This window comes from Homo sapiens, chromosome 5, assembly GCF_000001405.40.
Source record: "Homo sapiens chromosome 5, GRCh38.p14 Primary Assembly".
NCBI classification, from domain to species: domain Eukaryota; kingdom Metazoa; phylum Chordata; class Mammalia; order Primates; family Hominidae; genus Homo; species Homo sapiens.
This window is the reverse complement of record NC_000005.10, coordinates 166,973,566-166,996,589: the sequence shown is the minus strand read 5'-3', so window position 1 is coordinate 166,996,589 and position 23,024 is coordinate 166,973,566. Positions and strand designations below refer to the sequence as shown.

Here is a 23,024-nt window from a genome sequence, read left to right as displayed (position 1 = left end):
TAAAGGCCAGCAAACTTTTTCTGTAAAGGGCCAAATAGTAGACACCAAAACATTTAATAAGCCGAAAGGCTCGAGAGCCACACTAATTAACACTGCTGTTGTAGTGGAATATCCACGGAAAACACGCAATTGAACAGTATGGTCATATTCCAGTAAACTTTATTTATGGATGCAGGCATTTTAATTTCATGTAATTGTTTTTCGTTTGTTTGATTTTTGTTGTTTTGTTTGGTTTTATTTTGTTTTTGAGACGGAGTCTCACTCTGTCGCCCAGGCTGGACTGCAGTGGCGCGATCTCCACTCACTGCAAGCTCCGCCTCCCGGGTTCACGCCATTCTCCTGCCTCACCCTCACAAGTAGCCGGGACTACAAGCGCCCGCCACCACGCCCGGCTAATTTTCTGTATTTTTAGTAGAGACGGGGTTTCACCGTGTTAGCCAGGATGGTCTTGATCTCCTGACCTGGTGATCTGTCCGCCTCGGCCTCCCAAAGTGCTGGGATTACAGACGTGAGTCACTGCGCCCAGCCAAAAATTATTCCTTTGATAATCTTTATAAAGTCACTGGTATAGCAAATTTTTTAATTAATATGAATCATAAAAATAAAAATATTATTTAAAATATCCTTATATTATTTGATGGGCAACCGATTCAAGGACTTTATTAATCCTAATTCCCTCAACACGTATTTTTTCAATGTCTGTCCATCTTATTTGTGACAATTTCCTCATTTATAAGAGAACAGAAATTTTTTTTTTTTTTTTTTTTTTTTTTTTGAGATGGAGTCTCGCCCTGTCGCCCAGGCTGGAGTGCAATGGTGCATCTCGGCTCACTGCAACCTCCGCCTCCTGGGCTCAAGCAATTCTCCTGCCTCAGCCTCCCGAGTAGCTGGGATTATAGGCACCTGCCACCACGCCTGGCTAATTTTTGTATTTTTAGTAGAGATGGGGTTTCACCATGTTGGCCAGGCTGGTCTTGAACTCCTGACCTCAGGTGATCCGCCTGCTCCTAACTCATTCAACCATTTATGGTTTAAAAATCATCACATGTGGCCGGGCGCGGTGGCTCATGCCTGTAATCCCAGCACTTTGGGAGGCCAAGGCAGCTGGATCACGAGGTCAGGAAATCGAGACCATCCTGGCTAACACAGTGAAACCCTGTCTCTACTAAAAATACAAAAAAATTTAGCCAGGCATGGTGGCAGGCACCTGTAGTCCCAGCTACTCTGGAGGCTGAGGCAGGAGAATGGCGTGAACCTGGGAGGGGGAGCTTGCAGTGAGCTGAGATTGGGCCACTGCACTCCAGCCTGGGCGACAGAGCGAGACTCCATCTCAAAAAATAAATAAATAAAAAATAAAGGAATAAAGAAAAATTTAAAAAATATATAATCACATGGTACATTTTTTTCTATGTTCCTGAAGGAAAAGAAATACATGTTTCTTCTACTCAACAGATATTTATCAAGCACATACTACATATGTGCAAGGCCATGTGAAATATAGCAACCTCTCTGACACTTGTGCAAGAATCATCCATCTTTTTTGTGCATTCTCAAGTAAGTGTCTGAAACAGATAAATGAAAAATGTCGTTATTATTTTGATAAACCTCAGAAGAAATGCAACCACCTTCACTCAAGGATCAATATGACCCACAGTTTTCAAGACCCAAAGTTCTCCAGGGAGTGCTACAAATTGACAGGATAGTCTCTTAGTGCTTGATCTGACATGAGATACAGTGAAAGACACGTAGACCTCGAGGTGAAGAGCCTCATCTCAGACAGTTCCATATTGGCCAGACAAGCAGGGTGGCTCAAGATGGCAAGCTACCTCTTCCACACGTCAATTGTGAATTACACTCTCTAAATTAGATCCACAGCTGTGATGTTCAGTTCCTAGAGTACCCTCCAAATAACTAGTTGTAAGAAAGAATAAAATAAAAGCCTGCCTTTCCCCCAGACATACACCTTTTGGCAATCTGCCATGCCAACTCACAAAGAACATGCATATCTAAAAAGGGACACTCCTGGGACTCCATCAGAAAAATGGCACATCAAGAGTTTGACATAGGGGCTGCTGTCAGGCACTCAAATGCATAACTTATTCCAGTTTTGGAGACCTACAGAGTAGATCTATGAAATAAACTTGGCTCAGAGGGAGCCTGAAATACTCAGCCCCAAACAAATGAGAATCAGGGAAACTGTGCCAAACTTTCCTCTTGTTTATTTTCAAAGGAAATGAGAAATCTTTAAAAAAGAAAAAAACAGAGGAAGCTAAGATGATCGCCCACAATATTAGCCCCTTTCTGGGAATTTGAAGGAAACTCGGAATCTGGCAATTGGCATGCGTGACAAAAAGTGAATTTTGCTATCTTTCACAAAGCAGATATTCTGCTTTTACCTAATCAACTGCACGTAGCTACAGAAGAGATCTGGAAGCGAGTGATAAATGTAGATGAAAGTTGATATATCAGGGTGCAGAGGTAACCTGGCTGAATGTAACACAGCTGTGTAGGTATGATATGTGTATATATCTCATATATATGCACATATGTACACACAGACATAATGGGAGAGAAGTAGAGGAAGAAAAAAGAAAAGTGAAAAAAAGATCATCTTTCACATACAAATACAAACAAACATACGCAAATATAGGGAGAACAGGAAACAAACCTATCATCTCTCACACACAAAAAATAATAATTCATGTCCTTTCAATTCTTCAAAAGCATGCTTCCTTTGAGCCGGATTATTAGATAATTCCTACATTACTATTTCCCACAGATATCCTCCCGAAATTGTGTCGGTTATTTAATCTGCAGGTTAAATTAGACGCCTTTATCACCTGGCATAACTTTAAAACCCTGCAACTGTCTTTACAACACATCTAGTTTCATGGAAAGTTCACTGGGTTGACATTTACTTACATGACTGAATTCTAAATAGAGATTAATAAAATGATTAATTTACTCTTCTTTTCTCCTCTCCCTCTCTCTCCTGTTTTCCCCATGAGTCATGGTTGGCCATCTACAAGAACAAAATATCTAACTGAGGAAAACTGTCTTCCAACCGCAGCATCTGTCTCCCTGGCAAGCTCTGCTGACAGTTGGGTCCTGGCTCTAGAATTGTTCAAGAAGCTCTTTCGGGCTGAGCTATTAGTGGGCTCTCACCCTCCTAGGTGCAGCTTCCTACGGATTCTTCCCCCTTTGAAAGATGGATTTATGTATATTTATCCTTCTGAGAATCTGCTACTGTGCAAATATCTCCAGTGGAGACCCTCGCGGGAGGGCACACAGGACACTGGAGCTCTTGCGTTCCTTTTCTTGCAAAATATCCATAAAATAGCTCTGCAGTTCCCAAGGGTCCGCTTCTGGGTATTATGTAAGCAGCTTCTCCTTCAGAAAGGGAAAAGGATGCATCAAGGCACAGAACTAAAAATGCCCACAGCTCTCTACGGGAATTTCAAAATAGCAAGTTGCTTAAATACCAAGGAAAGCACCTGGTTCCTCTCCAAGCCTAAAGATAGCCTACAATAGTTTAAGAAATGCAAGCAGGAGTGGGGGAGGGGAGAGGGGAAAGGCCACGCATGGCACTGGGGAGACTGTGGACTACACAGAATAATCTGGCAATGCGCAACTGAGCACGTTTTGTCATTTTTGAAATTCTATAAAAAGTACTTAGCTGAGGAAGCTTTATGTTTTGTTTTTGGAAAAGTGGTTAAGGTGGCGGCATATTTGTGTAGGAAGGATATTCCAGCAGCAGCACATCTGGCTCATTTTAATTCAGAGCCTGAAATACTTCTGTCAGGCTCTCCCTTTCTATCTTCAAAATTTCTTCCCAAATCCACTTTTTTCAAACACTAACTCCACCCTTAGACCCCCTGGAGGCTCCTGATTCTTCAAAGAATTTGGAGAGATCTCTTGTTACTATTAGATTCCATTTTAGATTGAGAAGAAAGCAGAAAGTGGTCAAGATAGGCCCACCTTTATGTTGCCTGAAATACTTTTGAAATTTGCTTCATTCAAAAGCTGGAATGACATGGAGCACTTTGAAACTATGAAATACAATGTCTACAGGACCATTTATTTGTAACCCTCTCATTGAAAGTAAAAATGATTTAAACTCCCCAAAAGATCTAAAGGCATTTAAGAAAATCCAAGTAGCTCCATATAGTTAATATTTTCTAAGAATAAATACAGAGAAAAAGATTAAGCCTTCAAAGATCTCACTTACATAAGTCTGACAACAACAAAAAATACACAGTGGAAAGGATTAATCTCAAACAAACCTCGGAAAAGAGGCTTTTGCGGACAACTATTCCTCTGGCTAGATCTCCTTTGTTTACAATAAGAAGTAGAATTTGGACCCATTATATATTCCTTCTTATGGTCTCTCTTGTGAATTGAGGTTGTTAAAGTAACATTGTAATTATCTTTTATCTATAGCATGATTTATTTATAATATGAAATCCCCTTTTACATTTTAAAAGTTGTAACAATTGAATGCTCTTCTTAATAGTAAAAAAAAAAAAAAAATTGGAATATGAAACAGATATTTATTTCACCATTTCTCTTCCAGAAATCTCTGAATGTTACTCCAAGAAAGACACAGCTACACATTTTGTTTTAAACATTTAAATTTTTTTTTCAGTTTTAAAGGTCATATTGAGAACCAAACCAACTATGAATATGAATAAGTTGGAGGCCATGCCTAAAGCTGGTGTCTTTTCAAGTAAAAGACAAGACTTACTAATAGGTCCATTTGTTTTCCATTAAAAATCTACTCATTGTATTCACAGCAATCCACATGCCAGTATGTGAGCCTGCTTGGACAAAGCGTTTGCTTTGTGTGTATCAGATGCAAAATTTACTTAAATTCCAGATAATTGCAAGTGCATCTGCTAGGCTTTGTCACTGGGCTATATGAACATTTTCACAGTGTATACAAAGAGCAATTATCCAACAACTAAAGAAAAAGAAACAGTCATTTCTGCAAATTATAGCCAGCTCCTTTATCAAGGAATAAGTTTGTGCTAAAAGAATACAACCCCCAAACATTTTTAAAAATAATACGTATTCTCTCACATCACATACATTAACTACACAGAACAAAAAAGGGAGCTTTTCAACTGTTAAATTACTAGGTCTGAAACAAGGATAACTGCAATTTTAAATAAAATTATCTCACAAAACATTAAAGTTTCCCCCTAGAGAAAAAAAAAACCATACGCACACAAATATCCAATTTAAATCAATTTGATGTACTGGTATATGTTCTTATTCTCTATTCATGACAAAGTGTTTCAACAACAGTCACTTCTCTATTTGTCATTAGTTTTTCATCCCCTACTTTGAGATACAAACTCACAGAATCAAGAACATGAAGAAAAGTCAGAAAAGGAAGATTTGGAAAAAAAAAAAAAAAATCAAAACACCAAACCAAACAACTTGAACTAAAAGACTTAATTGAAACATTTTTGTTCTATGCATTCAAAATTCAATTCCAAGCAGGCCTCAGGCATTCTAGTTGGACTATTCTATCAATATTTATCTTTCATTCTCTCTTTCACTCTTTCCTTTTTTTCTCTTTTGCTTTCTTTCTTTTTTAACTTCATGCACAATCCCAATCCAACTGTCACACTCAACATGATGAGCCTTCTTTCAAAGCCCAATCCAATTTTCAGACTTTTACACCTCATGCCAACTAAACAACATCAACAGCTCTTCTCTTCAACAGTCTAATAGCGTAGATCTGTTCTTTTTAACAAATTCTCAAAGCTATCAAAAAATGATCACAGTGTTGTTGTTAGAATAGAAAGTAAACTATTTAACAGAAAAGTAAAAAATTTTTGTGACAGTTGACCTATTTGAAATCTATAAGTTTAGTGGACATTTATTTCCTGTTTCACCTTCATTTAAATATCTTCATTATCATTTTGTAAAATGTATTATGTTACCGGCCAAAGCTATTAGTCGGTAAAAAACCATCTCCGAATTCCCCAAACTGGAGAACCATCATTATCATTAATATTTCATGGAACTGCATTAAATGAGACAATATTCAATATTTAACTATCTAATCCTACAGTAATTTATATTAGAAAATACCAACCATGTGAGAATTCAGCCAGCCGGATTATTTTATTGGATGAATCTTTGTCATTATTAATAACACTTCAGTATCTCATATTTTTTCAGCACAGAATGTAACATCCAAGGACTGAAAGTGATTTTGTTTCTAATTAATTCTCAAAATCCGTGGGAGACAGTGATGGAAGGATAAATATATTAATTTCGAATTGAAGAATTAAAGGCTGAGCCTTCAGATGCAAAAATTTTACTAGAGATGTGGATTACTTGGTTGGGCCCGGCACTTCAGTAGGTTTACTAATAATTTAGTGAGGAAGACCTGTTTGAACCAGAGAGTCTAAACCACAGAAAAAAGAAATGCAGTTTTATTTTTTTCAAGTCCCACATTATTATTTATTACTAATTTATAAGCAGAAATGAAACATTCTTCTGATACATTATCCAGAATTCCTATGATTAACATGCTTTCTTTGTCTATTTATACATAGGCAAACATCAGCCCATTCCAGGTGAATTATCTTTAACTTCAAAATGAGCAGAGTTCAAGTAGATAACATTTTAATAGACTCTTGATGATACCAAAAGGAATTCTACATGACCAACATATTTGAGATCTGTGTGTGCTAAAATGAAAAGTATTCGGCTTAATACCGTTATCATCTAGAATGCCTTCCAATTCATTTTCAGCAACAGAGAAGTTCTCATTGATCTTAAGCTTTTAAGTTCACACTCTGACACACTTACTATCCATCCCCTAAGATCCCTTTGGGTTATTCTCCATATAAGGAATAATGGTAAATATTTTTGCGGGGTAGGCCAGGTGCAGTGGCTCACGTCTGTAATCCCAGCACTTTGGGAGGCTGAGGCGGAAGAATCACGTGAGGTCGGGAGTTCAAGACCAGCCTGGACAACATAGCAAAACCCTATCTCTACAAAAAATACAAAAGTTAGCCTGATGTGGGCCAGGCACTGTGGCTCATGCCTGTAATTGCAGCACTTTGGGAGGCCAAATCGGGCAGATCACGAGGTCAGGAGATCGAGAACATGGTGAAACCCCATCTCTACTAAAAATACAAAAATTAGCTGGGCATAATGGTGTGTGTCTGTAGTCCCAGCTACTCAGGAAGCTGAGGCAGGAGAATCACTTGAACCTGGAAGGCGGAGGTTGCAGTGAGCTGAGATTGTGCCACTGCACTCCAGCCTGGCAACAGAGAGAGACTCCATCTCAAAAAAAAAAAAAAAAAAAAAAAAAAGATTAGCTTGGTGTGGTGGCACATGCCTATAATCCCATATCCCATCCACCCATCCACTGGGAGGCTGAGGCAGGAGAATCACTTGAACCCAGGAGGTGGAGGTTGCAGTGAATCGAGATTGCACCACTGTACTCCAGGCTGAGCCACAGAGCGAGACTCTGACAAGAAAAAAAAAAATCTAATCTGTTTTGTTGACTTTCCCTGTACTTTTTATTTTGAGGGAATCTCATCATATTTATCTTGCAGGAAGTCAAAGTCTTTGGTTCTTATTATATAATACATAAGGGGCAGACTCTCTTCAGTTTCCCAGACTGCCTAGTAGAAAGGGAGTTGGACACTCAATCAATATCAAAGCCAAACCAGTGGATGCACCAGCTTGGAACTTTCAATGGTGAGCCAGGGACCGTTAGAAGCAAGGATGGGGGTGAGTTTCTTGCAGGCATTGTGCAAGCAGCCACATTTCTAGGGCAGCCGTGTGGGTGATGCTCATGGCAATGGGTTTCCAGTGTGAGGGACATGGAGGGCTCCAGCCAGGCCACTGATAGGGGCAGAAGGAGAAATGCCTGTTTCTATATCTTATTTTGGTGACTCTGTTATTCTCAATATCCTTCTAACACATTTCTTTTCCACCTACGTTAGCCAGAATTAGTCTTTACCTTAACAAGAGAGAACATGACCTGATCACAGAATCAAAAATAATAATTCAAATTGCACAGATGTATTCTGTGTTGGTTAATTCTATAAATTATTGGAAAATAAATTAAGAGATCCTGCAATCTGCAATTTGGTGAGTGGTAAATAATAGTCCCTCATCAAAAAGACTGCATTCAGAAGGACTGGCAGTAAGAGATAAACAATTTCATAAATCCTTAGAAACCCAACAGGAAAAGAGCTGAGTCAAAGTTGAAATGGGGAACACATCAGCAAAAGCTCTTTCTTTTTTTTTCCAGCCATTGCTTCTCTGATTCAGATCAACAAGGAACAGAAGATGGAAAGGAAATTTTGATGGCTTAGCTATGATTTACTGGAATTGAGATATGTACATCTTGAAAATCACAGTCAAAATGAGCTCTAATCAAGAGCCTGATGGATGATATCAAAAGTCAGAGCTGCCTGGCCAAGTCTAGGAAGCTATTACCTGGGGCTGTGGAAAGGGTCAGTGCCGCCAAGCACTCTGCCTTTGCCATCCACTTTCAGAGCTATTCACCTGGTGCTTTTCAAGAATATTACCCTTCCCACAAATGATTGATAAAAGATGAATCTAAGAGTGTGAATAAGTTTTGGAAAGTAAATCCCAGAACCTACATATTCGCTACATGCTTTCAAGTTCAACAGAGAAATACAATCCTTTAGAGAACATTTTTCATCCATGGAGCATTTGGGGAATGCTTGAAAATTTTCTCTCCTTCTCAATTCCAATCATTTTTCCAAAACCCCTTCTTGAAATAAAAGTAAATCATAAATTGATTCATTGCTCATGAAAAATGTAAATTGACAGCTTGGGGGCATGGAGTCATTTATCTATTCACTGGTTAAATTTACACAGGCAACCGGCACATCCTAAAAATGACCGGCATCAGAATTTGTCCATACTCTGAAACCCAGATGTGAACAATGATCTGCATCCTCCTGGCAAGGATACACAGTTTAATACTGACCGTCTGGCTTTACCCTTTACTTAATCATGTCTGTTATTAGATATCTCAATTAAAAAAAAAGAGTACAGAAAGCTGAGAAGTTATATCCTTGATCTCACCTGAAGCTATGCTTTTCTCAGAGTAAATACATTTGGAGTTCTAAACACACACACACACACACACACACACACACACCCTTACTAAACTTCTGTGATTAAAATACAATTTTATGCATATGCACACAGACACACACACACAATAGTACTTTTGCTTCTAGAGCAGACAGCAATCATCCACAAACACATTTTCCCCCCTCCCCAAACTGTGTACGATTCTGTGTACACCCCATGGGGGCTTAATAAACACTTATGAATTGACTGACAAGAGAAAAACCAAGAAATGACAACCTTCAGGGTAGCCGTAACACAATTTTAACTTGAAAATTGCCCAGGAATAGACTTCACAATCTATGGGAACATACACAAATCATATAAAAAGAACCAGTGCCCCTCATATACCTAGAGTGGCCTTAGGGAATAGCTGGGTGAAAAATCACTGCTGTAGGAAGAAGAGTTCAGGCTCTCTATCTATTTACTGTTTGGCTTCTGCAATGAATCCTGCTGAGAGCAAGTTTTATTCTGTAATAACTTCTATTACAGAATAACTTTTAAAATATACATTACAACAAATATAAAAAAAAATGCTCTTCTCTAATATTTTCTTGCTAAGTCCACAAGCATCAAACCACTCCCAAGACTCATGGTGTTCTTAACTTCTCTGCAGCCATTGGTGACAAAAGGATAATCTACAGTGCTTGAACTGAATGGTAGCTTCTACAAATAAATGGCAATTCACAATAAGTCGTAATTTACCCAGTGACTTCTCTAAATTATGCAATAATGGTGTGCCCCAGTTCTTAAAACATGTTTCATTCAGTAATTCCTAGAGGACAGCTTCCAAATGTCTCAAGTTCAACAGTAGTTTGTTTTCCCCCTGAAGTTCATATATACTTTCAAATTTGGGAGTATGAATGGGATGGACTTTAAAGATTTTGTGGTCCCTGGAACTGAAGAATTATATAAATAAGATACACTTCTTATAACAATCTAACCTTGCCGTATTTCCTTAAAAGGGTAGTTATTCCAGTTTTTATCTATTTGAAAAGGAAATTTCTACAATGATAAATTTCCAAAAATGTATGATGATAACAAGTGGGAAAAAAATACAAAATAAGCTGTGCTCAAGATTGATCCCATTAAACTGAGAGCAGAGTAAAAAAAGAGAAGAAAACCATTTTTGGTTGTGATGAGGAATTTTTTTAACCAAAACATACAAGTCCCAAAATAAGTCTGTGTATGTCCTTACACTCTAAGGCCAAACACAAAATCTATTTTAATTCACTGTGTTAGTGGTGCTATCTTGGACTTTGCATTGCTCACTTGAATTATTCATAATGGTCAATAAAATTCTGCAAACACTGTTTTGCACCTCACCTGTCCTTCATGCTCACCTTATCTCATCTCACCCCACCATCCTTCCATCTTTGTCCCCAAAAGCACAGCTGAGGGATGTACTTGGTGATCTGCTTTGTTTGATCATTTGAGCTACTTTTCCAACACACACCTTTGAACATCTAAATCATTATTTATTGCAAAGAGTACAGACCACCTTCATTTCTTCCTAACATTACATCAGGTGGTTAAGAAAACTTTGGTAACTCTCAATCTTTTTGAGATTTTTCTATGTCAAGCCAAACACCTGTCACTTTTTTGGGTGATGACTTTCAGTTTTTAGATTCTCAGCTTGACAGGAATGAGAAAGGATCCTTTTTCACCCCCTTGTTTTCTTGGAGCCTCCTCTAGACTGTAAGAAGTGATGATTGACCGTTTTCCACACTCATCCACAGCCCTCTCTGTGGCCACATGTAAATTTGCCAATGGATAATTAAGCAACAGACACATCCAATAAATATAATAAATAAATTTGATTTTTTTCCTTTAGTAATTGGTTTCATCTGACTGCGTCTGATTATGTGTGGGGATATATAAACAGGATTAGAGAAGACAAAAATTAGATTTTGGGTCACACAAGTTGTGGAGCCCTAACCACTGTGAAATGCTTTTCTAATAATTATGTTATTATTCATAGGATTAAAATATAGAGAAGCCAGTTTGTGCCTTCTCAAGAAGTTTCAGTGGGGTTAAAAATAAAACTGGTGGCAGAATCATTACTGTAGGAAAATGGTGGCCAACTACAGAATAAATTTTCCTCTTGTCTGCATCCTCTTCCCACAATTCACACTGCCCTTTTCTCGGGCATCTGTTGAATCCATGCCAGTAGTGCCAAACCTTGACTTAGGTCTCCAATTCCAGGTATCATATCACACCAGGCTCCATGAATAGAAATGAGCTGGACACAATGGAAGGAAGAGGATGCGTGGATAGTTGTATGCAATTACTGCCTGAGAAAAACCCAAAATGAATTATAACCAAACCACCTTTCTAATATGCTTTAGACATAAAGAGCAAAAATCTTTATTTGTATTTTTTTCAAAAAGGAACCACCCCTATTGGCATTTACTTTCTTAGACATCCTTTTGGCATCAAATTACTTTTAGCATCAGATTTAGCTCAGTACGTGGCCTGTCTTGGGAATCCAAAAACTACTTATTGAAGGAATTTTTAAAAAATAAAGACTAAAATATACTTTCCTGTAGCTTTAATTTGCTTATGTTTCTTCTAAGTGATTTCTACTGAAATGTGTAATATATAACTATATACTCTTACATATGAAATGGCTTGGAAAAATTATCATAATTAAGATCAGAAAGTCTGTTGCAAGGAGTTATCTAGCAATAAAAATGATTTTAACTATGTAGATATTTACTGTTTGGACTAGCCATATGCACGAATATAGCTATCTTCTATCATGGTTCAGTTTTATTCCTAGAAACAATCTAGGAACCTAACTTGACTATTTCCAACATTTACAATAAAATTTTGAAGTGACTTTTTTAAAAAAACATGTTACAAATATAGCAAGCAGCTTATACAATTTTCTGAAGTAATTATTTCACATTATGAGATTTTTTAACCTCTGCCAAAAATCATTTCTATTTAGTAGCATTTTTTTTCCACATAGACACTTATTCTTCTAATTGAAGTAGGAGAGATGTCAAAATATTGAGTATCAGTGAAGTTCTAAGCAATAATAAAAATGACATTTAAATGTAAAGTTTTTCCAAGAGAATCCTCCAGGATGTGTCCCACCTTAAGATTTAGAATCGGTATATTATCATTAGTATCAATTTCATCTTCATCACACCAATTACATCCTCCCGCTTTAGTCCTTGTCTCCTACTAGGTAAATTAAAAATTGCAAAACCTAAATAAACAAAAGAAATGACTTATTCTTTGGAACCAAATTCATAAATGAGTTCTTTATTTTACAAGGTACATAACTCCCTTTTATATAACTTAATAAAAGCACTTTACAAAAGTCATATTAACAGAAAAGATTATACAAAACTTCTAATATTTTTTCAAATAAGCTTAAGCTTACATACAGCTAAATAATTTAGTCAACAGAGCAGTAAAACTGACTGACTTTTTGAAAGCTGGGTTCTATACTTTTATAGATCTGCATCACATTCCAGAAATCATAAACTCATGTAATAGTAAGAATGAATGAGCTGAAAACTTCATATTTATGTTCCAAAAACCTGTAGCAGAACTAAATTAGAGATGGAAGAGTACACTGGGCTTTCTCCATAGGTCATCTAAACAAATATCCAAGTGACTCAAGCGTCTCTCAAAGAATTGCTGTCAAGTCCTGAGAAGTCTCAACTTTCAAAGAAACCCTCTCTTTCCCCCCAAACAATGCACTGTTATATTTCCCAAGACAGAGGTGGTTCTTTAGCATCTACCACGAATATTCTGGCAAGAGCAACACCATGTTGATAAGATAAGGGATGCTGTCAATTGTTCCATCAAAGATCAATTCCTATTGTTCAGTAGAAAAAAATCTTTATGGGGAATATAGATTCTATTCTAACATATTAGCTGTGTTACTTGGTTTCAGTTTCTCTTTATCAAACTCATAGGAAAAGTGTAAAAACACCTGCTCTCTTTTCACTCATAGTACATTCGAAAAGCACATTACTGTACTTTTTCCCTGATCATTCTTTTCACCTGAAAGGCTCGTAATTCTATACTTAGGAGAGGTGGGCCAGTGAAAGTCTGGCAGTAAAAACGAAGGAACTTTACTTGCAAACTATTTCTGAGGTGCTTCATTTTTTCCCATTAAGAATTCATAAAAAGGATGCAGTATTTCAGTTTCAGAATCATACTGTAGTATACAATATATTAAATAGACTGCAGTCATGAGTAACATTAATTTTAGGGAAAACATTTTCTACCTCCATAACTTTATGAAATCTTTTGGAAATATGAGCAGGACCTGATATATTATCCTCTTATTACACAGTCTTAAAACACCTAAAATAATTATGTTAAGTAGTGGTTTATGTTTATTAAGGAGAGAAAACAACCCAAAATAATTTTTAAAAAGTCTGTTGCTGATAGTGCATAGTACTGAACAATGTGAACATTCCCTCTTTAAAGCAAAATATAAACCAGAAGTACAAAGAATACTTTGACAAAACTGCTATTTGCTCTCAGCAAATAAGACTCATAAAATTACTGTTGCTTTCACAAAACTTAAAGCAGAGTATTATGTAGTTAGAAAATACATCATGCTTAATCAAATACTGCTATGTCCCCTACTACTGAGAATGTATCAAAAGACATGTCTCCTCCCCCCCCCAAAAAAAACATATATATATGTCTTGCAATGTTCCCTGAAGGTTGGGAATCTGTGGTATATACTATGAGTGCAGAATGGGGGGTTTCTCCTTGTGAGTACATCAGGGCTACTGGGAACCAGCAGTTCAAAGAACAAAACTGTTGCTTTACACAAAGTAATGAAAGACAATAACATAGGCTTTTCATGTTGCCCCCTTCAAGCTAAGTAGGGTGATGCTAAGTTGTGCCTCTTTAAGTCTGTCTTTCTGTTTAAGTTTTAGTTCTCAAGTGGGAAGGGACAAAAAGGCCCTTGGAAATGACCTTGACCATATTTCACCAGAAATCACTTCTCAAAATTAATCTGCACAGAAAGAAAACAATGAAAAAAACTAGCCAAACAGGTTTTCCTTAAAAACACACAAGTAGTTCAAAGTTCCCTTCAATTGCACAATGAAAAAATAGCAATTAATGTTAAGAAACATTCAGTAGCTATAGCATAATAAAGGATTCACACATGCAGAGAAACCTCCATTCTTATCAAAATGAAAGTAGGAACTCTAACAATACAGCCAAATGTGATTGACAAGTTCCATGAATCAACAGTCTCGGATACCTATCTTTCTACATAGCCATCACCCCAAGTTACCTTCTCCCCAGTTAAGTCCAATGCCATGCTGAAATTTAACAAGAAGACCAGTTGAAATGAAACTATCTAAGTTACCAGCAAGGCTATCAAGATGATAGTATTATTTTCATACATTAACCTGAAATCAACACTAGGCACAAAAAGTTAAAAGAAGCTTAGTTAAGATTTAATTAACAAACTTAATAATTATTATCATAATAAACCCATCAACAAGCCACAAACACAATACCACACCAAACGATGTAAGAGTCATACAAATCCAGTTGTTTGAATAGTAATCTAACCTGGTATCACACCCAAAATGTAGATATGTTTAATATTTTAACACAAATTATCAGAGCTTTTCAGAAGTTGCCAGGAAACTAGAAGTAGACAGAGGGGTGGCTGGGTAAAAAAAACAACCTCAGTAGGAAAAAAATGTTCTTTAAATCAACGTACTCATAGTCTTCGAGTCTAGTGAAGATACTGAAACTGAAGCTAATTTTGATGTTTCATAAATAAATTCATGATCTGAATATGTTACATAACAATTAGAAATCTTGCCCCACGAGCCTAGCAAAATAAGCCCTTAGCCTGGTCAGTTATCTTTTCCTACACATGTGTGTGGAATATGCCAGAGAAATAATACAGCTGCCCAGCATGGGGTATATTGCTTTTTGGTTTGGGTCCTAGAAGGAGGGAACCTGACGCTTTAGGTACCTTGGGTTCTTAGGATTGAAGTTTACTATATGAAATCATTTTTCTTTAGTACCTAGACAAACAAATGCTTCACTCAAAGACAACTGTGGTCTTAATGAATGCAAGCTGGATTTTCCCCCCACTAACTTGATCAAAACAGTCCATTCAAAGGTCCATGAAAATATTTTAAAACAGCAATATTGCCATCTCAAGGGACCCATGAATAAGCTGAGCTTTCATTCTAAATAAAATGCCTTATTACTTTCAGCAGACTACAAAGGAAGAAATAAGCTTTAGGTCTTAGGAATTCTGTTCACAATTTTAAGAAAGGCTTTTGTCAACACAGGGGACCCAGAACAGGTGAATTTGCATGGTGCCTTAGAGTAGGTTTTTTTCTACATAAAAGAAGATCTGACTAGTTGAGTTAATTTACAGTTTGTTTTGTTTTTTGGGGCTGAAGAGCCTTCACTTTTTCATGTAGTTCTTCCAACATTAGTTAAGTTTACATTTAAACAAAGTTTAAGAGTATTATTGCAAACGTATTCTTGGCACATAGACAAGTTGCTGCTCTATGATGTGGCAACCACCTAGCAGAAGGAGGGTTCCTTGAATAACAACATTTTCCCTCTGTAGAATGTATGTGTCTCAGAGTATCCCTGAACTGGATGTCCTCATCTCAGTTTAGAGTTCAGGGTTTCTCAGGATGATGATACATGTACAGAAACTGCAACCTGCTGTACCACAGAGGCCCCCTTCCTCCATTTAAGCTGCCATTATATTAGTTCATTTTTCCATGGCTTAGCAGAAATTTTACAACTATACACTGATTCCTTTCTAAATTGCTGATTTGCCTTTACTCACTGGCCCTTCAGTTTTTCTACTCAACTGGAACTGAAAACTTAAGAGGAAAAAAGCAAAACAAATAAAACATGGTAATGATCAAGAACCCTCCAAAGAACTTTAAATGATATGAATGCATTAAAGAGCTGTTGTATATTAATTTTTAAATAATATTTAAAACAGATCCCGGCAGCCAGAGTTACAGAGTGAGTTCTATTTTTAAGAAAAGAGTTAGAGTTCAATTTGCATTCATTATGCTGGCTATTTTAAATAATTTTATTCCATGTGTATGCAGAACCCTCCCCTCCATTGACAAGATGCCACTTCAAGTAAGATCTAAGAGAGATATTGCTGTACGTGTCTCACAATTTTGAATAAAACAGTACCAGCAATCTCCCTCTTTCTCCATAGCCCTAAATTTATTATTAAGTAAATTTAGCAATAGCTCAATCACTGGAGCCCAAGACAGTATGTGATGCACTAAAGCACTTATATGTTTATTATCTTTTGCAAGCAACATGGGTAGTGGTGTCTATTATTGCCTCCTGCAAATCTGTAGCAATGTGATGCAAAACGGCATTTTTAAAGAAATTCTCTTTTGGAATGCAAATGATTCCTCCTGCAATTTTGAATATTTTAGCCAGCATGTACCATACAGTAGTTCTGGAATCACTGGCATCTCTCATGCTGTCAAAACTGAGTCAAATGCATTGTAATCCTGGAGAACGATAACCTTAAACAGCAATGCAACGTTAAAATGCATCCTAAAAAAAAATCCCTATAATTGCGATGAACATTAGAGAGAAACCGGCAGTCCTTCTGCAGGGAAATAACAGTCTGCTCTAGCAATCTTTCCCCTCCCCCCCTGAAACTCATGCAACTAATGATGACCTCCCGAAGTGCCGAATTTAAATGTTCCAGCATTCATCTGAGGATGAAGGAGGAAAAAAAAATACATAGAAAACCATGAAACAAGTTGTAAACTGCACAAACGCAAGGAGAGAAAGAGAACTGCAGCTGATTCAGGAGCGATTGCAGAATGAGGAGCAACAGAAAGGAAACAAGAAAGAAAGAAAAGGGGAAAAAAGCCTTAAGCATTAAAGAGTAAGAAGTGAAAAACATTTACCAGCAGCTCGGTCAGTAGCTTCGCTCCCTGACACCATCTACATAGATAACTTAGCCTAGAGTCTTCGGTCCCAGCTCGCTTTGGAGCAAAATTCCTTCACTTCGAGGGGGCAACACACACCCTCAAGAAAGAGAGAGAGAGGGAAAGAAGGGGAAAAAAAATAATCCCAAAGACCAAGACAGGCTTTCCCCCTCCTCCCTCTTACCCGCCCCCCGGACTCCCCAAACGGTGCTCGCTTCTGCACAGTTCTGCCTGCTGTGCCGCTGAGCTCGATGTTGCCGCGGCGGCTGCTGCTGCTGCTGCTGCTGCTGCTGCTGCTGCTGCTGCTGGTGGTGGTGCTGCTGCTGCTACTTCGGAAACGATTAGGAGGAGGACGCCCAAGCACGACCTGAGCCTGCGAGCCACCCAGGACCAATGTGCAACCTGCTCTGGAATCAAACCCATAACACACGCACGCACACCCAGTGACTCCTGCACGCGAGCTCTCGCGCGCACACACGCGCTCGCCCGCGCGCCGCACAACACACGCGCGCGCGCGCACACACAAACACACACACACACACACACACACACACACACACACAGAGCGCCGTGCGCCGCCCGCTAGCCCTCGCGGTCCCTGAATGGGGAGTGCGAGCCAATCCCTGGGCCCCGAGAGCGCGCACCGGCCCAGGCCGCCGGGGTTGGGTGGTGGCGCTGGGGCTGCAGCTGCTGTGGCTGCGGGGTACGCAGCCAGGGAGGGGCTCACGGCTGAGAAAGAGGGGCGCTAGGGACACGTGCACCCCTTTGTCTGCAGAGAGAACCCCAGCTGGGCGTTTCCAAGACCAGGAACTGAGCGCGCGAACCCCGGGCGGCTCAGAGTTCAGTTCGGCTCTAGGGTTAGCCTGAGGAGGCTTGGATCCCTAGCTGCACGCACCGAGGGATCCGCTCGGCACCCGATGCACCACATCTATGCACCACAGCTACACCCAGGTCTCTGCAAACAGGAGAGCACAGCAAGCCTTCGAGTCCTGCGGACGACCCGAGCCTGCCCTGGCTCTCGCGAGCATGTCCAGTGCTTGGCTGCACCCAGACCGCTTCTTCCAGGGTTAGGAACGCAGAGCAGGGCAGAGCCGAGCTCTGCAGCTTCCAGAGAGAAGCAAAGGTTCCAGAGTCTTCAGCCGCTGCTCACCTGCCTCATCTAGGCTGCCCGGTGGCTCTGAACCTGCACCCAAGGACGTAGTGATGGGGAAGCTAGATTTCCAGACGTCAGAGAGGAGTTACTTCTCTTTTTTTCATATAGGGAATCTTTGAAAAGAAACAATTCTTAGCCCAGGAAAGGCTGTTTCAGTTTACAGGGTAATTAACAGAAAATCCAGCAGGGCCTGGTGGTTTTAATAGTAACAGCTGAACAAGTATTGCTTGTTCAGCTCTGTGCAGGCTCTGTGGAATGTGTTGCCTATGAATTATCTGATTTTAACCTGTTCAGACACTGTATGATCCACCCTAGGAGGAAACCGAGGCCCCAGAATGTTACCAACTGCTAGTATATCATACCCAATACATCAAGAATCTAAACCCTGCAGTCTGGCCCTCAGTCACTGGAGACAGGATGAGGAGTGTGGATGAACGCTAGGCAAGTACAGCAAGGTAAAGGCCTGGTGGGTGTTTGGGTGATAACATCCTCTGGCCTTCAAGCTGTACCTGGCTTGTTGTCTTCAATAACCTACAAACCTTGAAAAACTGCATGCCTGAAATTTGCCAATGTCTTCATAGTACTAATATTAATAATACTTATCTCTTGATTACATACTCTTGTTCATCCTTTAATTAGGTGCCATCTTAATCTTTAAAGGAACTCTGTAAAGAAACTATCCTACCCCCCTTCTACATATGAGGAGGCTGAGACTGAGATGTGGTGTCACTTCCCTCAAGGGACAGGCCCTGAATGAAGACACTGTTTGTCCTATTGCAAGGTCTATGCTGTTTTTTACTAGAATTTGCATCTCCCTTAATTGCCTTCTGAATAAAGCCATGGGATGAGGCCATGGCAGTTACTTTTGATTTCATTCAAGAAATTCATTGATTTTGTAACATTCACTCATTCAAGGATATTTACTGAGCATTTACTTCCTTCAAGGTGCTATCCTAGTGGTGACGGGATGACAAGGGCATTATCTCTATACTCTTTGGGCTTATATTCTAACAAGAAGACGGTGATCATATGCTTAAAATGCTAATGAGGGGCATTTACTGAGGGCTTGCTAGGAATGCATTTCTCTCCCCTCTTCATCTAGCAAACTCCTATTTATCCTTCATCTATCTCTTCCAGCATCAACTTCTTCAGGGAAGTCGTGAGATCTTTCTGGGTTATTACAGGTGTTCAAGGCATCATGTAACTTTAAAAAATTTGTGGTAGCTTCAGTTTTCCACTTGTGTTATGATTTAGCTAGTGTATGTCTCCTAGACACACATGAACCCTCTAGACTGTAAACTCCATGGGGGCAAGAATGTGTCTCTTTTAATTAAACTCACTCTCACTCTCTACCACACACACACACACACACACACACACACACACACACAAACTACTCTTGGAATAAGAATAATAATTCCTAGGAGAGGGGAGCTGTTTTTATTCCCAATTCACAGATGAGTAAAATGTGGCTGAGTAAGATTAAGTAGCTTGCCCAAGGTCACATACCTGGATAACTGGCAGAGAAGGACTCCCACGCAGGTCTGTCTGGTGCTACAGTCCACATGACTAACCCCTGTCATGTTGTCCAACAGCCAATCAGACTACATGAAAGGGGATCATGGGAAATAAGGTAGACAGATGCTGGGGATGGCATTATGGGGGAATACAGAAGTAACAGAGATAAATCATTCAGTATAGTAAGAATTAAAGAGGCATGCAGTAGAATTTTTTGAGACAGGGTCTTGCCCCGTGGCCCAGGCTGGAGTGCAGTGGCACGATCTTCACTCACTGCAACCTCCGCCTCCCAGGTTCAAGTGATTCTCGTGCCTCAGCCTCTGGAGTAGCTGGGATTACAGGCATGCACCATCACGCCCGGCGGATTTTTGTATTTTTAGTAGAGATGGGGTTTCACCATGTTGGCCATGCTGATTTTGAACTCCTGGCCTCAGTGATCCACCCGCCTCGGCCTCCCAAATTGCTGGAATTACAGGCATTAGCCACCTCGCCAAGGATATTCTTAATCTACTATGGGCACCCACCATGTGCTAGGCAACTTGCTCAGATTTTTTTTTCTCATTTTAACCTTAACAATTCTTTTGGCTAAGCATGGTTATTTCCAATTACAGACAATGAAACAGACTCCCCAACAAACCTGACTATAAACTCCAGGGGTACAGTGATATGTCTACTTTAATTTCCCATTTTATCTCATAGTATCTGCCAGCTAAAGTCACTCTCTGTTCCTCTCTCAACCCCTCTCTTACACACACACACACACACACACACAGACACACACAGACACACACACACACACACACACACACGCAATTCGCCCAAGGTCTTACAGCTAGTAAGTAGCAGAGTTAGGATTTGAGGCCAGGTCTGTCTTCACCGTTTCAGAGGAGGTTGGTATGGGGGCGAGGTGATGTCAGTGTGGTGTTGCAGTTTAGCCATGCTATAGTATTTGATAATGCCGGAGGATCTAACTGCCAGGGAGAGATACTGCCGGTGCATTTTCCCCTTCATCAAATCTTATAAGGAATTTGAGATTCAAAGACTTAAAGTTATTTTACCAAGGTCACAACCAGTGTCACAATGCAGAGCTACATTCTAAACCCAGGCATCTCTCACTGCAGACGTGTGGTACAGGATGTTGTAAATGGCACTGGGGCTTTCCAAGATTTTCAGCAAATCCTGGCTGGGGGAACCCTCACTCAGAGAGGACATGCTGTCCAGAGCCAAGCAAGCCTTCTGCACCACTCCTCCCACCTGTTACCTCTCCTCGAGGCTCCACCTTTGTTCAGGCCCCTGTTCCTCTGCCTTTTCAGGCCTTACCTGGAACCCAATGCCTCACTGCCTCCCTGCTCATTGTCAGCAGCAGCAGTGGCTACAAGCCACGGTAAAGTAAAAACTGCATTTTGTCCAGCTCTGCTTCTAAGCTGACTGCTGGGCATGCTCAGTGATAAAGGGAAGCTTTGATTACAAATAGGAAGCTTTTGTTAAACACCTTTCCATTTTGGAGTATTACTTTGTAACTGGATCAGTGTGTGTAGCCCGTTGCAGAGATCCCTAGGCTATACCAATCAGGTCTGTAAGAATGAGATGCTTCCACATGGAAAAATATCTCCATCCTTTGCATCCTCTACCTTATCTCCAGCATTCATCTCGCTGTTCTGTCCTCTCTGTAAGTGCACACAAAGAGCATCCACAAACTGTATCCGTTCTATTTACATACCTCACAGCTATAGACATATGCATCCAGCTACAAATACATACCAGCCCTTGACTGTGGATTTGTTTCTTGCAATTGTTTGGCCATTAACTTGCTCTACACTGAAATGTTATGAATAAAGTGAAGTTTCTAAGAAAAGGCTAAATATTAACCTCTCTTTTCTCCCTCCTCCACCCCCCTCCCCAGAATAAATGTATTCCCTAGAAAATGCTTCAGGCAGCAGAAACGTCTCGGGGATTTTTGAAAACCTCTTCCTGTGTATAAGGTAAGTTGATTTTTGTTCACATGTGCAGTGCAATCCTTAACTCGTGATGAGAATAACCGGTTAAGAAAGGCATGAAGGGCAACCTTCAAGGAAAACTTTGCAGAATACTTAAAGTGTTAGTTGATATTCTGCTGGGGCACCCAGGACACGAACTTTTAAGCTTTTTGAGAAGTCGTGTAACAGCTGGGCATTTTAATGTAGATCATCACAGTTATTCTTCATAGCAACTCTATGATCCCCATTTTATAGATGGAGAAACAAAGGCTTCAAAAGAGCAAATCAGTTACAGCCAACTCATACAACTAGTAAGTATCCAAGGTGGAATGTAATACCAGGTCTGTCTGCTGCCGAATTCTGTATGGTGAACTCTTCATTCTGCTGCCTCGAACTTCCCACATCCATTTGAACAGGGAGGCAGATGTAGGGAGGGGTGATGGTGACGGCTCATTTGTACTTGGTGTGCACAACACTTCGTGTATAATAGTATCATTATTTTCCAAGAACACTTAAACTCAGTTAGGATAGCCTCTCTAAGGGAGCATTATTTGTTTTATTTGGCAAATTAGAAAAACTGATGTACATGGAGCTTAGAGGGCAAAAGACCAAACAAAATGAGTGTCATTGGAGCAAAGGCGTCTGAGTTCTCATTGATGAGCCTTTATTCCCTTCGCTTTTAAATAGCATTGCACTGTAATTGTCAACCATTTCCCAGGTCACACAGTCTCAACAGACATTCTCATCAATTTTGTAAAATCCTTTACAGAGTATATGTACTGGAGAATTTTCACTTTCATCCGGATGGGAAATTTAGAAGTAGAAAAAAACAGATTTTTTTTAAATCACGGCAGTTCTCCATGTTTGTTTCCAATGTCTTCAACATCCTTTAAAGATGTTTTAGTAGATGCTGTGACTTCCCATTTTTAAGAGAGGCCAGGAAAAACCCTTGAAAATATAATCTCAATCAGGCAGATTAACCTGGTGCCATTAGTTCACTCATGTGGCAGCATTTGCATTTTTGTATAGGGCACCTTGCATAGAAAAGGGTAACCAATGAGATCTTGGTTCTATAACTTAAGGGTAGAAATCTTGTTTGGTATATTGTAAGATAATTATTTATCTTTCCAGAAATCAGTTAGATAAAAAGCTTAATGTCTGAGAACCTCACACAGATGTAATAGTACAGTTTGAGCATCACAAATCCAAAAATTTGAAATCTGAAATGCTCCAAAATGGGCAACTTTTTGAACACCAATATAACTCAAGTGGAAAATACCATGCCTGACA

The 23,024-nt window shown here is 39.5% G+C and overlaps 1 protein-coding gene across 8 annotated transcripts in view, besides 2 other annotated features; it reads right to left on the bottom strand.

The window, feature by feature from the left end:
* TENM2 (teneurin transmembrane protein 2) overlaps positions 1-17,561 on the bottom strand; it is a 1,285,129-nt gene extending 1,267,568 nt beyond the window's left edge. For all 8 annotated transcript variants that reach the window (XM_047417418.1, NM_001395460.1, XM_017009661.2 and 5 more), the window contains exon 1: positions 17,067-17,561. The gene's annotated coding sequence lies outside the window, so the exon portion shown is untranslated. The remainder of the gene's footprint in view (positions 1-17,066) is intronic.
* Positions 17,503-18,002: an enhancer, noted in NCBI's record as "H3K4me1 hESC enhancer chr5:166405593-166406092 (GRCh37/hg19 assembly coordinates)". NCBI's record gives its function as "activates a minimal SCP1, AML or CMV promoter by ChIP-STARR-seq in naive H9 embryonic stem cells {active_cell/tissue: H9 hESC(naive)}" and the evidence as "EXISTENCE:reporter gene assay evidence [ECO:0000049][PMID:30033119]".
* Positions 18,003-18,504: an enhancer, noted in NCBI's record as "H3K4me1 hESC enhancer chr5:166405091-166405592 (GRCh37/hg19 assembly coordinates)". NCBI's record gives its function as "activates a minimal SCP1, AML or CMV promoter by ChIP-STARR-seq in naive H9 embryonic stem cells {active_cell/tissue: H9 hESC(naive)}" and the evidence as "EXISTENCE:reporter gene assay evidence [ECO:0000049][PMID:30033119]".